This window comes from Homo sapiens, chromosome 3, assembly GCF_000001405.40.
Source record: "Homo sapiens chromosome 3, GRCh38.p14 Primary Assembly".
In the NCBI taxonomy this organism is placed as follows: Eukaryota; Metazoa; Chordata; class Mammalia; order Primates; family Hominidae; genus Homo; species Homo sapiens.
In genome coordinates, this window is record NC_000003.12 from 179,847,946 (window position 1) to 179,865,541 (window position 17,596).

The following is a 17,596-nucleotide window of genomic DNA, read 5'->3' on the forward strand; positions in this document are numbered from 1 at the left end:
CCTTGGTGTTCCAACGTTTGGGTATTTTTTTTTTTTTTAAATAAAAACCAGAATAAGCAGATAGCTGACTTGAATATAGAACTAAAGACCAAAACTATTCTAACCCCTGGCTTCACTGTAAGGCAAAAATAAAGTGTGTAACCTGCAGATCTCATTATTGTTCCTTTTCAATAAACAACGAGTAACAGTATTCAATGCTACAGAAAATTTTATAGAATACTGATGATTGATTTATACAGTGCAGCACTGCTAAGAAAAATATAGGATTTTGAGCATTCGACAGAAATAAAATTATGTTATTCTTCCTATAGAAGCAAAAATTTGGCTGGGTGTGGTGGCTCACACCTGCAATCCCAGCACTTTGGAAGGCTGAGGTGGGCAGATCACTTGAGCTCAGGAGTTCAAGACCAGCTTGGGCAACATGGCAACATTCCGTCTCTACAAAAAATACAAAAATTAGCCAGGCATGGTGGTACATGTCTATAGTCCCAGCTACTCAGGAGGCTGAGGTGTGAGAATTGCTTGAGCCTGGAAGGAGGCGAGGCTGAACTGAACTGAGATCATGCCACTGAACTCCAGCCTCAGTGCCAGAGTGAAACCTCTCTCAAAAAAAAAAAAAAAAAAGAAAAGAAGAATTAATAGCAACTTCTCTCGACAGTAAAATAAATGTGTGCATGTGACAGAGAAACAGAAAGAGTGATGGTTTCTAATATTCCCACAACTCAAAGTTTATTTAGAATATCAGAGCTGGAAGGGCCCTGTGGCAGAAACTACTCATTGCCAATCAAAATGCCCTCAAATTGTGGTAATTGAATGGTGGCCATTTCTCAGCTTCCCTTGCAGTTTGGGGTAGGGGTCAGTGGGGATGGTGGTGCTGTGGTGTGCTTGACTAAGACCCTGCCAATGGCGTGTGAGGAGATGAGATCTGAGTCAGAGCTTTTAGGAAAGTGGAACTGCCTCCTCAAGCTCTTTCTTCCCTGCATAGAATGGAGCAAGAATTGAACATGCAGATGAGGATGACACCCTTGGGGATGGAGGAGAAAGAAGTTACAAGGAACAGGGGACCCTGGATAATGGCATGGGGTAGGTCTTCCTGCTAGTTTGGGACTTTTATTGCACACGAAAGAAATAAAGTATCTTGTTTGGGCAATTCCATTTTGGGGAATCTTTTATAGCTACTAGTGTTACCCTAAGTAATAAATGGACCTCAAGAATCATCAATACCAGTTTCCTAAACTTTATAACTTTTGTCATTTCTGTACTTTATTGCTATTTATACAATGTATTTTGTAATTAATACAGTTCTATTACTTATATAGGCAAAATCTACTTAAGCCTTGCCTAAATTATGTCTGTGAAATCGCCAGTTTGAAGTGCTAATTATATTTTTAAATATATATGAAAATAAATGCACAATTATTAAAATAAAATGTTCATCTGTTTTCCATCTGATCTCATAGCACATGAAATCCAATTTAATTTCAACCACGCATTTTACTAATGAAAAAGCTGCGGCCCAAATGCCATATTTTCAAAATTAGACTGAGGACCTACATCTAGTTTGAGACTTTTTCCACATACCTTATTATGCTACTTTCCTTTTTCTTGTAAGTTTAACATGTGATTCCTGGGCACAAAGCCTTCCAAGAAATGATTCAAACTACTTGCAAGCTACTGTCCCACTGGTGTTTAGAGACTCTCTTTGAAGAGAAAAGAGTAAAAGTTATTGTCCTGGACATGCCAATGGACAAACAGAAGCACAGAATAGTCTGTAACTCCTCAAGGCTGGCTCACATAGAGTTTATGTCTTTTCATGTTCACTTTCTTCTCCATTTATTTGCTCGGTTAGTATGGATTGATGAGATCACATCCAGAATGCAGATCGTGGATTTCTCAGATTTAAAGTTAAGGGAATTTTCCAAACTACTTTTTGGTCTGGAGGTAGTCTACAAATCTGATGGTCTAGAAGACTTATCAGTGAATAACTAAGGTTTTGTTAGAATGGGTCAAATTAAATATTTTTATTACTTTAGGATTTATATAGTAGATATCAAAAAGAAGTGAAATGATATGGCAACTACCCATAATTCTGACCTTAAAAATTTAGAGATAGACTGTAAATCCCTCTTTTTTAACTGATCACTTATCCACAAATTTATCTAAGACTATCTTGCCTTATACTTTTTTTTTTTGTTTTTTTGATGGAGTTTTGCTCTTGTTGCCCAGGCTGGAGTGCAGTGGCGTGATCTTGGTTCACTGCAACCTCTGTGTCCTGGGTTCAAGTGATTCTCCTAACTCAGCCTCCCAGGTAGCTGGGATTACAGGCATGCACCATCATGCCTGGCTAATTTTTGTACTTTTAGTAGAGACGGGGTTTCACCATGTTGGTCAGGCTGGTCTTAAACCTCTGACCTCAGGTAATCCACCCACCTCAGCCTCCCAAAGTGCTGGGATTACAGGTGTGAGCCACCGTGCCAGGCCTTATCTTGCCTTATACTTTTATCCTTACCATCTCTCAGCATTCATTGCAAGTGATTCTACCATTATTCTTAACTCTGCTTCATATTGTTTTTGGAAGTAAAATTTTATTTGTTTAAAACAGAAGAAAATCTAATCAATGTGAGAGCAAAGGGAGTTTTGCCATTTTCCCAATGAACTCACACAACATATGATTTATCTACATTTGACTTGTGAAGGATGTTAGCTAACATGACAAACCAATCTTTAGGAAATCTCTATTTTAAGCAGTTAACTTCAAGATTTCTTTAATATTGCCCAAAGAATGTTTTCATACATTATCAGAAGATTTTCTCCTTTTTGGATACTGAATCTAAGTTAGAATGGTTTAAGGAATGTTTAATGCATCAGTTCTTTCCACTTCAAAGAGGTAATATTGTCATAGAAAGCAAAAGAAAATTTGAGGAGGTGCTAGAGATGGATAATTTTCTTGCTAGGAGGACACCCAAGTTAGCAGTTTCTTATATAATCCTATATTAATAAAAGCAGTTCAAGAATGGTCTCCAATTTTGTTCAATAACTTGATATTTCTGAGATGCCTATCAGACCTATAGTATATACACTGGGAATAATTTCAGGTAAAAACAAAATTTCTATATGGAAAGCACTTTTGAGTTTATGTCACTGAAGCTGGGTTTAGCTGTTGTGTTGTTTTGAGTATGGCATCTGTTAGTTAAAGTTAAAGAGAAGTAAAGAAAGTCACTGTCAGCCTGTTTGGGCTGGTATAACAAAAATTCCATAAACTGGGTGGCTTATAAACAGCAAACATTTATTTCTCACAGTTCTGGAGGCTGAGAAGTCCAAGATCAAGGAGCTGGCAGATTAGGTGTCTGGTGAGGGCCTGGTCTTCATTGAAACTGCTTTCTTGCTCTATCCTTACATGTTTGTAGGACAAACAAGCTCCCTCAGATCTCTTTTATAAGGGCATTTTCCACCTTCATGACCTAGTCACTTCCCAAAGGCCCCATCTCTTCATACCATCTCACTGGGGATTGGGCTTCAACCTATGAATGCTAAAGGGGCAAAACATTCATACCATAGCAATCACCTGTATTTCTAGGACAAGGAATTACTAGTTAGCAGTAAACTTTTTCACTGCCCATGTTCTTATAACAGTAATTACCAATTTGCTATGATTTTTCATAAAATGCTGTGGGAGGCAATGTTAGCTTGAAGCCTTGAGGGTTGTGCCCTCTGCAATAGGACATATAAACGGAAGGTTAGAAAGCTGCTTTCAATGAAGATTGTCATGAAGAGAGGTCTAGGAGCTTTGCAGAAGAAAATGCAAAAGTCCCCAGCCAGATCCTTGGTGAAGGGCTGAATGTCCCCTAAGGAACATGGACTGTCACAAAAAAGGTTTTCATTCATTCTCTTTTGGGGATCAGAGAGGACAAGCTTAGAACCAGCTAGATAGTAGGGGAATAGTTTGAAAAATTCCCATCCAGAATGAATGAATACATTGTTTCTGTGCTACAAGGGTAATCTTCCAATTTTGGGAGTATTAAATGGTGTTAGGAATGGAGATGAGGAAGAGAGTAGTGGAATGGGACGAGGCTGGGGACTGTGAGGAGTAGTTATCGAATGCTGCTTAACAAATCACCATACACTTAGCAACTTCAAGCAACACGCGTTTACTATGTCACACTGTTTCTGAGGGTCAGGAATTAGGGAGTAACTTAGCTGGATGGCCTGACCTGGGGTCTTTTATGAAGGTGGAATTAAGCTGCTGGCTGGGCCTGCAGTCATCCCAAGGTAGGGTCTGGAGAATCCATTCGCAAGATAGCTCCCTCATGTGGTGTGGACAGGAGACCTCATATGGGCTGCCAACAGTCTGCATGATGTGGTAGCTGGGTTTACCCCAGAGTGAGTGATTGAGAGAAAGAGCAGGGAGGAGGCCACAGTATATACAATGACCTAATCTTAAAAGTCACACACCATGACTTCCACTTTATTCTATTTATGAGAAGTGAGTCACTAAGTCCAGCCCACACTCAAGAGGAAGAGAACTAAGCTCCCATATTTTGAAGGGAGTATCAAATAATTTGTGGACATGTTAAACTATCACAAGTAAGGTTTCACGTAAAGCTAAAGAAAAGAGAAGTGGGGGACGAGAAGAGCCAGAGTTCTAGAATTTAAAGGTCTTAGTAGAATTTAATAGTCTCAACTGATTTGCCAGAAGGATGTAAGGATATGCTTCCTGTTCTTGCCTCTGATGACTGAACTGTACTCTACTTTGTCCATACATCCTCATTTTTTCTCATTTACATATTTCATTATTCTTTAAAAAAATTTGCTCATAAGAATACCTCCTCAGGGTAAAAGTAGAGCTGTGAAAACATTGCTTAAAAGGCATAAAACAAGCATTATAATAATATTAGAGTTAAGCAGAACGTGATTTTGAATCTAGGGGGAAAAGTTCATCCTTTGTTAGTCGGTCAGTAAGTTAGTCATATACCTTAAGCACTCACTAGTGAAGAGATGTTTAGATGAAATAGATGCATTAAAATAATAAATTGTTAATTTGTTCATTTATTTATCCAGTAAAAATTTGCACCAGACTCTATGGCAGGTGCTGGGAACATAAAGAAGGATGAATAAAGAAGGAAGTCACAATCTGGTATGGGAGATCGACATGAAACCCATAATAACTATATCACATGGTAAGCTATACTTGAGTGATCACCTGGTTTGTATTTGTCTGTGATTCTTCACCTTAATTACTCCTTAAGGACAGAATTGATCTTATTCAATTCTCTATTACTAGCACCCAGCACAGTGCCTGGCCCATGGAAGCAGCTAAGGCATGTCTGATGAATGTGTTGCTAAATCCAATGTATTCTAAATGTTGCAGCACTTAGAGAGACTAGCTAAACACAATACCAGATGCTGGCTGGCTCTCTTTCCCTTCCTGCTAACGTTGATGAAGGAGGTATTTTTGGCTTGTGGTTGCAGTGTGCTGACTTCTTACATGACCTTCTCTCTCCTCTGCAGATGAAGCATAATTCTCTGTAGAAATCTCCACTCCTGGGAGGCAGCTTTGGGCCTCACTGAGCTCTGGGAGCTCCTTCGCAGTTTGTCACTCCTGTGCCTCCCTGTGCATCCTTCCTAGGGACCTAGTGGACAGTGCATTTAGGCTGCTGGCTATAAGGAAAATCCAGGGGGAAGCATAGAGGAAGCTCCTCTCTCTTTTGTTCAGGGAAGATGCATTTTATTTTTTAAGCCCAGAATGGGAGTATCTATCTCTTTGTCCTAAAATTACAATACTTTAGGTAGAGACAATTTTTCTTTTCTCTTCTTCCTCCTCTTCTTCTTCTTCTTCTTCCTCTTCCTCTTCCTCTTCTTCTTCTTATTCTTCTTCTTCTTTTTGGAGGTAGGGTCTCCTTCTGTCATTCAGGCTGGAGTGCAGTAGCATGATCAGGGTTCACTGTAGCCTCTACATCCTGGGCTCAAGCGATCCTCCCACCTCAGCCTCCTGAGTATCTGGGATGACAAGTACGTGCCACCATGACTGGCTAATTTTTCTGTCTTTTTGTAGAGATGAGGTTTCACCTTGTTGCCCAGGCTGGTCTCAAACTCCTGGGCTCAGGCAATCTGCCTGCCCAGGAGTTTGAGACCAGCCTTGGCAATATGGTGAAACCTCACCTCCCAGAGGACTAGGATTACAGGCATGAGGCACCACGCCAGACTTGATGTTTCAATACAATGTTAAGATATGGAGGAAAAGATCCTCACCCATATAAGGCTTAGCTAGAGCTAAGAGTTCAACGTGAGCTTGAGGAATGACAGTCTTTGCACATAAACAGGTTCCCAGGTCATTTACTACAAACAATACATGTTCATGTGGTTTTAGTTGTCTTTTCTCCAACAGTGGATAATGTATTTTAGGGCACTTCAGCCAAAAACTTAGTCGATTTGCACATTTCCAGGTATTAATATAAGTAAAAATGGGTTCATACCATCTAAAATACAAAATATGCCCAATGTTACTGGCAAGATTGGTTGGAGCCTGCATTCTTATAAATGTGTCTCTCTGACTGACATCAAGACCAAGACAATTACAGAGGACACTGCAGCCCAGTCCCAGGCAGAAATCTGTATGCTTCAGGCAGAATTGTTTAATGTCAACTATTAAAATGGAGATACAGTTATGTTGGAAGGTTATATGGCACTTTATATACAACAATAGATAGATGAAAAAAAGCGTTACCCATACAGAGTGATTAACATTAATTAATGAATGAATTTCATTCATCCATCCATTCAGTCAACAAATATTTATTGATTATTCGTAGGCACCAGACATTGTTCTAGATATTAGGGTACAGTGGTAAATAAGAGACTAGGCCCCTTTTCTCATGGAGGCTACATTTTTAAAGTAGAAAGACAGATTATAGACAGATAAATAAATAAAAACAAACAAGAAAGGACCCAGTGATAAATACTAGGATGAAAAACAAAGGCCTAGGTGATGCAATGGCAATTGAGTGATCAGGTTCAGCTTTTCTGAGGTATTGGCAATGCAGCTAAAATTTGAATGTCAAGAAGGAACCTGCCACCTGAAGATCGGAGGAAAGAGTGTTCCATATAGACAGAAGAGAAGGTGGGGACAGTGGGCAGTAAACTTGGGTGTGGGAGAGGAACAGAGAGAAAGGCAGAAGCCAAAACACCTGGAGCTCAGTAAGGGGACTGAGAAGAAGAAGAAAGAGTGGAGAGGTGGCCAGGTGCCGATCATGAGGCAGGATGATAACAAAAAATGGAATAGAATGTAAAATAGGAAGAACGTTGGAATCAGATGATATAAAAACATAAGGCAGAGATTTTGGAAAAATTCAACTTGCTCCAGGCATGATTTTCATCTGGAGCTTACTAGTATTTAAAATTGCCTCTGATGAAAGCAATCTGCATCACCATTCTTTGTCTTGAAATAAAGAATAAGACACTTTTAGTCCTTTTAAGAATCTTATATCCCACTGTAGTGTCCATGACTTACAACTTTCCCCTTGATTATCAACATAATACATCTTTATGAAAGAACATTTGGAAAATACAAATAAGCCAACAGGAGAAGCAAAAATCCATTCCAAATCCAGCCACCCAAGAATAACTATTGCTAACATTTGGGCACAGAATCTGCTATGGTCTGAATGTGTTCCCTCAAATTCGTATGTTGAAACCTAACTCCAAAGGTGATATATTAAGAGGTAGGGCCTTTGGGAGGTGATTAGGTCACGAGGGCGGGGCTGTCATGAATGGGATTAGTGCCCTTACACAAGAGGCCTGAGGGAATTTGTTAGCCTTTTTTGCCCTTCTGCCATGTGAGGACCCAGCAAGAAGGTGCCATCTATGAGGAATGGGCCCTCAGCAGACACCAAATCTGTTGGCAACTTGATCTTGAGCTTTTCAGCCTCCAGAACTGTGAGCAATACATTTCTACTACTTATAAATGACCATATCTCAGGTTATTTTGTTATAGCAGCTCAAATGGACTAAGACAAACTCTATGTTCATACAATGCAGTGGTTCAGAATACAAACTCTGGAGTCTGGGTGAGAATCGTTGCTTTGCAACTTGCTAAACTTGTTTTTCAACTTGCTAGTTGACTTTCAGTCTATCTTAATGGCTTATAAAATGCCACATAACTGTCTGCAAGGTCTTTAAGCCTCAGTTTTCTCTTCTGAAAAATGGAATAGTAATCTTACTTTCTTCATAGCACTGCTGTGATGATTAAAGGACATAAGCCATGTAATTTTCCTGATTTAGTACCTCACACATAGTACATTCTTTAACATGTTACCTATTATGCTGTTATCATTTTACAAAGTTGGGATTATACTGTAAAACTTTCCATATATAAACTACTATTTCAATTATTGCTAGACATTTTTAATAGTTACATAGTATTTTGCTATAAGGATATGATATAATTTTAGTTAAACTCTGTTATGGGATACTTCGGCTTTTTCCAAATTTTCACTATTCAATGAAATTCTACAGATAAAATATTGCAACTTTCAAGTTACGTCTCTAGGATAAATTCTATGAAGTGGCTGGGTCGATGAGCATAAATATTTCCAAGACTCTTCTGAGGCATATTATTATGTCTTCCGCTATGAATTTAGATAATACCCTGGGTAAGAATAATGTCTGGAAGTAAATATGTGTGAAGTTTTGGAGGCATGATTTACCATCAGCTTAATGTAAATACTTTATCTCCTCCTTCCCCACGCATTCACACACTTTTTTCTCCACACCTGTTCACACCTTCTGGTGGGCACCATTTCCCTTCATTCCTTAGGGAGGCTTCCCAGTACCAGGCTTCTGGTTAAGCAACTCTGCTTATAGTTTTCTGATTTGCTGGGAATTCTGTACTTACCATTCTTTTTACTTGAAGACATAAACTTACAGGGTTTTAGTATATTGGGAATCCAAGCCCCTCAACTTACAGGTGATATGAAACTAAAGTAGAATGAACAAGTGGTTTGTCCAAATTGGTCCTGTGGACCATGCTATTGTTAGACTGCTAAGTAATGCTGGATCATTTCTTTATCTTTAGAACCTAGATCAGCAGCCAGTACACGTAAACAGCCAGTATGGTTTGCTGAATGAATAACTACTTGAAGTAACTTGAAGCCTTCTAGGATTTTGTAACTGGAAAGGATCATAGAGGCATGGAAACTGAGGCCTAGATTGGTTAATGAGATGTAGGTAGTTATATAACTTTAGTGACAAGTTGGGATAACAACTCAGGTCCCAGTACAGACAAGGAGAAGCCAGGAGATGTGGCTTGCTGGGGTGAGATGGGCATGAAGAGGAAAGATTAATTCTGACTTGCTCCAGAGGGGGTAAAACCAAGACCAAGCAAAACTGCAAGTTGCTGGTAGGCCAATTTCAGCATAAGAAAGAACTTTTTGATAATTAGTACTGTCCAAAATGGAAATGGATTTTCTTGAAAAGAAGTGAGTAGCCCCTAATTGGAAGTGTTCAAATAAAACAGGGTAATAATTTGTGAAGTGTTTTAATAGAAAAAATTTTTTTGGTTTGTGTGTCTGGTGGGGATAAACGACTTCTAAGGTCTCTATCAAAGCGAAGATTAAATGATTTGTGAATATATGTATCTTGATAGATAGATAGTCTTCCCTTGTTGATCTGTTACTTTGTAATTAAGTCTTTTGAATGTGAATTCATTATCTTTCTCATTACAGATACATTTAAATGTCTTTACTTACCCAAGATTCCATGGGTTTAAAATAATCGTTTTAGTGGTATTTCAGTGTGCTACACACAGTAGGAGTTCAAAAGATAAAATTTAAATTAGCTCTTAACTTTGGAAAACCTACATTTAAAGTAAATTGAGCTACAGGCTCCATGCATTTGAACAATTTGATTGAACTCAGCTGGTCTCAACCAAATACATCAGTTGATCACATTCAAGAGCACTAAATATTCATTAGCTTTTTTTTAATTAAAAAAGGATAAAATTAAGGAATTTGGGTAGATGGTATTGTGGTGAAATAAAAGTGTTCTCTTATTGGCTTTCTGAATAATAACCTGAAATTATGGCTGGAAGTCTTTCCCAGAATTGAAAGAATCCTTTAAATATTAAACTGCAAATATAATTTTATTGCGCTTCAGGTATAGAGGTACTGAAAGACCACCCTTTCAGTGTAATCCTTTCATGCAAATTCTAGGAAGACAAGTCATATAAATGAACCATATTCCAGAAATGCTTTCAATTTTCAAGATTTCATATCCATAATAGAAACGGAGTTTCCAACAAGTTCATAAGTAAGTTCAGTGAAAAGCTCCACACTCAAATAGCAATCTAGCAAAGCTTTGATGAGTAGCAGAGATAGCATCTGTGATGCACTCTTTTTGAGTCTACCCGGGAAGGAAATGCATTAAAAAAACAGCAAAAGTTGCTTTCTGTTTATTTAGGTTTTTTTTCTTCCCTTTCTTCTTTTCTCCCTCCTTTCTTCCCTCTTCCCTTTTCTCTCTCTCTCTTTCTTATTAGAAGACTAAATACAGAAATCAATGTTCCAATCAGGTATTCATTTGAATTATCAACAATTTTTGGACATTCTTAATAATAAAATTTGCTCAAGTCAAGAGGGACAATCCATTAGCTAGAATATTCCAGCCATGCCCTTTTCTCGCCTACTTAGGAACATATATATCACACGGGCAGCAAGATCTTCTGTTTCAGACATTGTGCTAGATGCTAGAGAGATAAAAATATAAAGCATGAACCTTGGCCTCACAGACACCTAGCAAATCCATAGCATTGGTTCACCATAGAACCTAGACTAGACTCAGAGTTCTTTCTGACCCAGGACTCCTGACAGTCATTGCTAATCTATCACTGCATTGGCATAAGAGGTAATATATATTTGTCATCCCTGGTGGGAAATCAAATGTTCTCTGGTACATTGATTATACCAGATTCTGTACCAAATGATTGTCTCATTTTGACAATCATAATCATGGCTATTTCATGTCTATAATGTAAGACCCATTTCATTTCTATCTTGCTGAAGTTTGATTTTTCAAATGCCACTCTCAGGAGCATGAAACAGAAAAAACTAATTTGAAGAAAAGTTACCTCCACTGCTGCTTTTGCCCTTTCAAACTCTTCTTCTAAGGAGTGGTTTCTAGAAAGTAATGCGCTTCCCCAGCGATGTTCTTTGGTCAGTCGAGCCTGAAATCAATCATACACATAGTGTTATAATATTAGAATCACATGTTATTATAGAAATATACAGGTGCTTTTCCTTTTCCCATTTCACTTCCCTAGAGTTCAAGAATCATCTGTGACTGATGACATTTTTGGAGTACTGTGCTGGTATGATGTTGCCTAAACTGAGATGCTGTCAAAATGTGTGTGAGCATGCATGCGTGATTCTTCCAACAGTGGGTCTCAGCCCTGGACATATTGAAACCACTCCTCAGGCCTCATCTCCCAAAGATCTTATTTTAATTGGTCTCGATTCCAGGCCTTGATATTTTAGTTAACCTCTCCAAGTGATTCTGATACGCAGCTAGGATGGGCAATCTCCATTACAAGTCTAGCTTTAGAAATTGATATTCAAGCTTTCAGCTTGTGAGGAAGATCAGCCTCCGGTTAAAAACATAAAAGCTGCAGAAATGAAAGTGTGGCTTCCAGGCCTTTCTCCGTATGTACACAGCAGATCCTCATGCATAGTTCTCTTCCTTCTGCTTTCCCTCTGTTGGCACTGTCTTATGTCTCATTTCTTAGGATATTGCTCTCTATTAAATAATAATGAATCACTTAGATAAAATCATGTCTGATAAGGCCAACTGCTTTGCCACAATTAATAGGCAATGTAATATTTACACATCTTAACTTAGCTAAATGCAAATATTTTCAGAAGACCTTTCCCCAAGAGTCCGCTGTAGTTTTTAAAATGTTATTAATTTTTAATTTCACAAAAATTGAATACTTATTTCGAAAAAAAATTAATCATAGAAAATAAGAGGTGGACCACTAGACCTTTTTCTCTGCAGTTACATAAACATTTAAACACATAATGTGTATTGTAATATGTACAGTAATATGTTTCAAAAACATATGAAACATAAAAGGCATGCAATTCTTCAATGTTTTCACTCAACAATTTACCTTGGAGAGTTTCCATTTTTGTTTTTTGTTTTTTTTGGTCAACCTCTGTGCTCTACCAGGGGATCCATGAGGATAAGAATCTTGTTTGGTTACTTTTGTACTCCCCATGCCCAGCACAGGGCCAGACAAGGGATGAGTGCCCACATACGCCTAAGGGCTGCAGGATGAGGCATGCACTGAGACACAGTGAGGCCTTGGGGAATAGGAGGAGAGGGGCTTGAAATGAATTTCCCCGGTCCCTTTTATTATAGAGTGGAGGTGGGGTAGGGAGGGTGACTTCTTGGTATGTGTGTTAGATTGCTCTGTAGCAGTGATGCTCAACCCTGGCTTTCCGTGGGAATTACTTGAACAGGCCTGGGCCCCACCCCAACCAATTAAATAAGAAACTCTGGGGGTGGGACCCGGGCCTTTGATGTTTGAAAAGCGCCTCTGGTAATTCTGAAAAGCAGTCATGGTTTGAAAACCACTGTTCTACAGCAAAACTTTCCTCTTCACACAGCACTTGCCCTCCAGATAGCTCAGCTGCTCTTCATTCATTTCTCTACCATTGTTGGTCCTGAAGGGGACCCCCCTCTTCTATTGTGACACGATAGTACTACCAGACACCGCTCTAAGTAATTTAGACATTATAATTTATTTTGCTTTTTTGGAGACTTCATGAGGTAGGTATTATCAACTCCATTTTCAAGATGATGATGTTGAGATACAGAGAGCTTAATTCGCTTGCCCAAAGTTATACAGCTAGTAAGTGGCAGGGCTGGTACTTCAAGGCCATGCTCATAACCACTGTTCTACACTGCTTCTCCCAGGAGGCTGTGCTCACCCAGTCATACCAGGAAGACAGAAAACAGAGAAAGGCTGCCCCTGGGGGGCCGTTGCATAGGTGAGGAGTCAACAACGAAGCCCTAAGAATACTGTGGATTGCAAGCAATAATGAAGTAATTATGACCGTAAACAACAGTGTTAGTCTGTGTTTTGCTTTAATAAATGTGGAACGTTTATTTATTAAAACATTAATTTATGTTTCCTCCTCTTTGTTGGGAATACTTCTGTATCCTCAGTATCTCCTAGCAGGCAGTAGGTGCTCCATAAGTAGTCAATAAATAGTTGTTGAAAATACGCTGTCAATGAATAGATGCGTGAATGAATTAAAGATATTTTCTTTCCTTAGCCCCAGAAGGTGTTCTCAGTCAAGGTTCTCTGTTCAATCCAGGAGGCTAAGGAGGAAGTTATAGGAGACTGAAAGGGGTCTTGTTTTTTGTCCTGGATCTGGAGTGGCAGAGGTCTGTGCTAGCAAGGTCCTACTGCCTGGGCTTTAGAAGTGGGCAATGGCAGCTGAATGCCGGAGGGGCCTGCCTAGGAAAATGCAAGGCCCGCAGGCAGCACAGGGGTGAGGCGCCTACAGGGGTGTCTGTGGTCAGAAGAGGGAAGGGTGGCGGGGTACCTCTGGGCTTGCAGGAGCATCAGCGCCTCACTGTTGGGTGGGCCAGGCTCATGGGCCACCATGAACAAGTAGCCTCCTTCTTTAGGCCCCATGAAAGCTACTACCTCCTCCTAACCCAGACACCTGACACAGGGAGGGTGACCTGAAACATAAAAGTGAAGCCAACTATCATATCATCCTGGCAAGTAGGGTCTTAGAGCCAGATTTAATATCAGTAAATAAAAATAATAAGACGTTTCTTGTACTCCAGGATTGTGGCAGCCAATTTATACTCTTTGCAAAAGCAAAAGAACTTGTGATAGAAAAATGTATGCCCAACTTTGAAAGAGGCAAATTGAGGTTGTGTGATTTCTTGATATCATGTGAGAGAATTTTCTAAGTCTTCTTGACCCTTGTGTTAGTTTCTTATGGCTAGTGTAACAAATATAAACTACCACAAACTGGTTGACTTGAAAGGACAGAAATTTATTCTCTCAAAGTTCTGGAGACTAGAATTCCAAAATCAAGGCATTAGCAGGGCCACGTTCCCTCTGAAGGCTCTGGGGGAGAATCTGCACCACGCCTCTCCTAGTTCCTAGTGGCTTCAGGCATTCTTTGGCTTATGACTGCGTCACTCCATGTTGCCTCCTCTTCTCTCTCAAAACTCCGTCTGCCTTACTCTTATTAGGTACATGTGGTTGCATTTAGGGCCCACCCAAATAGTTCAGGAAAGCCTCCTTCTCCAGAGTCCTGTAATTTAATCATGTATTTTGCTATATCTGGCCACCATTCAGCCAACTACAACCCTGATCTGACACTTTTGGGCCACAGTATATTCGATGAACAAATATAAACAAATATAAAGGGGAAGACAGTTCACAACCTTTTAGGATTAAGTCGTTAGGATGCTGTAACCTAGTAGAGATGTTAACTCCAACGGTGATATCTTATTGTCTTGTAGAAAGTTAGCCGATCTTGTATCTAACTAGGGAAACTCATTTTGGCATTTATTTCCCAACTGGCTTTATAAAGCTCTGTTCCTCATTGTTTTGCTTTTGGAACCAACTCTATTGTCTTCCTGTTGGTTCCTTCATTAATAAAATAAACATATAAAAATTTCAAGTGTGGACACATGGTAAGAAATAAACTTTCTGAGAAACTGAAGAAAATGCAAATAAATGAAAAAAATCCCGTGATCATGAATTGAAAGGATTAATATTGTTAAATTTCCCAAACACTCCCTAAAGCAATCTACAGATCCAGCCCAATTCTTATCAAAATTCCCATGATGTTTTCCACAGAAATAAAAAAAAATCATAAAATTTGTACAGACTCACAAGAGACCTTGAATACCCAAAGCAATCTTGAGCAAAAAGAACAACATTGGAGGGATAACACTACCTGCCTTCAAAATATATTACAAAGCTATAGTGATCAAAATGGCATGATAAGAGCATAAAAACAGGCATATAGACCAATGGAACAGAATAGAGAGCCCAGAAGTAAACCCATGCATTTATGGTTAATTGTTTTTCTACAAAGTTGCCAAGAATACACAATGGAGAAAGAACAGTGTCTTCAATAAATGGTTCTTGGAAAACTGGATATCTACATGCAAAATAATGAAATTACACCCTTTTCTCACATTATATACAAAAACCAACTCAAAATGGATTGAAGACTTAAATGTAATACCTGAAACTATGAAACTGCTAGAAGAAAACACTGGGGAAATGCTACATGACACTAGTCTGGGCAAAGAATTTTAAAAATATGACACTAAAAACATAGGCAACAAAAGCAAAATAGGCAAGTGGAATTACATCAAACTCAAAAACTTCCACACAGCAAAGGAAACAATCAAGACGACAAAGAAACAACCCTCAGAATAGGAGAAAATATTTGCTAACCATACATCTGATAAGGGGTTAACATCTAAAATATATAAGGAACTTAACTCAATAGCAAGAAAACAACTTGATTTAAAAATGGGAAAAGGACCTGAATGGACATTTCTCAAAAGAAGACGTACAAATGGCCAATAGATATATGAACAAAATATTCAACATTACTAATCATAGGGAAATGCAAGTTAAAACCACAGTGAGATACCACCTCACACCTATTAGGATGTCTGTTATCGAAAAGATGAAAGATAAGTGTTGGAGAGGATGTGGAGAGAAAAGAACCCTTGTAAACTGTTGGTGGAAATACAAATTAGTGTAACCATTATGGAAAACAGGACGAGGGTCCTCAATAAACTAAAAGTAGAGCTACCACATGATCCAGCAATTCCACTACTGGGTATATATCTGATATGGTTTGGCTGTGTCCCCACCCAAATCTCTTCTTGAATTCCCACATGTTGTGGGAGGGACCTGGTGGGAGGTAATTGAATCATGGGGGCAGGTCTTTCCTGTGCTGCTCTTATGATAGTGAATAAGTCTCATGGGATCTGATGGTATTATAAGGGGGAGTTTCCCTGCACAAGCTCTTTCTTTGCCTGCTGCCATCCATGTAAGATATGACTTGCTCCTCCTTGCCTTTCACCATGATTGTGTGGCCTCCCCAGCCACGTGGAACTCTAAGTCCATTAAACCTCTTTCTTTTGTAAATTACCCAGTCTCGGGTATGTTTTTATCAGCAGCGGGAAAACAGACTAATACAATATCCAAAGGAAATGAAATCAGTATGTCTAAGCAATATTTTAATTCCTGTGTTCATTGCAGCATTATTCACAATAGCCAAGATACAGAATCAGTCTGTCTATCGATGGAAGGAAGGGTAAGGAGAATGTGATATATATAGATGATGGAATGCTATTCAGCCTTATACAAGAAAGAAAAACTCATTTATGACAACATGAATGAACCTAGAGGACAGTGTGTTAAGTGAAATATGCCAAGCACAGAAAGACAAGTACCATGTGATCTCACTTACATGTGGAATCGAAAAAACTTGAACCCATAGAAGCAGAGTAGAATGGTGGTTACCAGGAGCTGGAGGTGAAGGTTGAGGGGTTTGGGAGATGTTGGTCAAAGGATATAAAATTTCAGTTAGATAGGAGGAAAAAGTTCAAGAGATCTATGGCACATTATGGTAACTATCATTAATAACAGTGTGTTATATTTTTGAAACTCGGTAAGAAATTAGATTTTAAGTATTCCCACTATAAAAATAAGTATGTGAGTGAATGCATATGTTAATTAGCTCAACTGAGCCATTTTACAAAGTATATATATTTCAAAACATCATGTTTTACATGATAAATATATAAAATTGTAATTTGTCAGTAAAAAACGAATTAATAAAAAAGGAAAAATCTTTGTGCATTTATATAATGTCATGAATGACCCATGAATGGCAGTAGAGGAAAGTGAAAGCACTAATATTTTTTTCCCAGGGCACGTCCTTTTCTTAGCAGGCACTTCTCACCAGTAAGATACAACCTCACTTTCCTGTGAAGCCTGACCTAACAGGATCCATTACTGTCCTTGGCTTCTTCCCTTCGTCAGTGTTTCATGCACCAGCTGCACTGCGCATCACAGGATGCAAAGGGCACTGGAAGAAGAGGCAAATCTCTCCGAATTCTAGGCTTACAGTTCATATTCTCTTTGCCACTTAAAACAACAAGTGCAAATAGAATCTTACTGTGTAAATGAAATTTTATTTTCATAGTACAATTACTGTTTAGGGAAGTGTTATTTTCCACATTTTTAGGAAGGCCTTAGATTATCATTAAGAAGAGTGTTATCTATGTCACATTTTGAAACCATTTCTTTTGCCCAAGAAAGTATAAGATAAATGCCATCAAAGATCAGTAAATACTGAAGGTAAACAGGCAGTTTTCGAATAGCGATTAGTATGCGGTTAAAGATCCTGAAACTTTTCTGCAACTTAGCGGTGTGCTCAGACATACAGGTTTAGGATTCAGAATGAAATACAGATTATAACATATGGTAAAGATCAGCCTTCCTTTCAATGCAAACTTTTTTTTTTTTTTTCATCACAGGCAAAAG

At 38.7% G+C, this 17,596-nt stretch overlaps 1 protein-coding gene across 38 annotated transcripts in view; it reads right to left on the bottom strand.

The window, feature by feature from the left end:
• PEX5L (peroxisomal biogenesis factor 5 like) overlaps positions 1-17,596 on the bottom strand; it is a 241,980-nt gene that overhangs the window by 52,988 nt on the left and 171,396 nt on the right. For all 38 annotated transcript variants that reach the window (NR_146167.2, NM_001349404.2, NM_001349401.2 and 35 more), the window contains one exon: positions 11,117-11,212. Coding sequence is in view for 37 of the 38 variants with exons in the window: in NM_001349404.2 (NP_001336333.1) it covers positions 11,117-11,212 (96 nt within the window). In the remaining variant the exon portion in view is untranslated. The remainder of the gene's footprint in view (positions 1-11,116; positions 11,213-17,596) is intronic.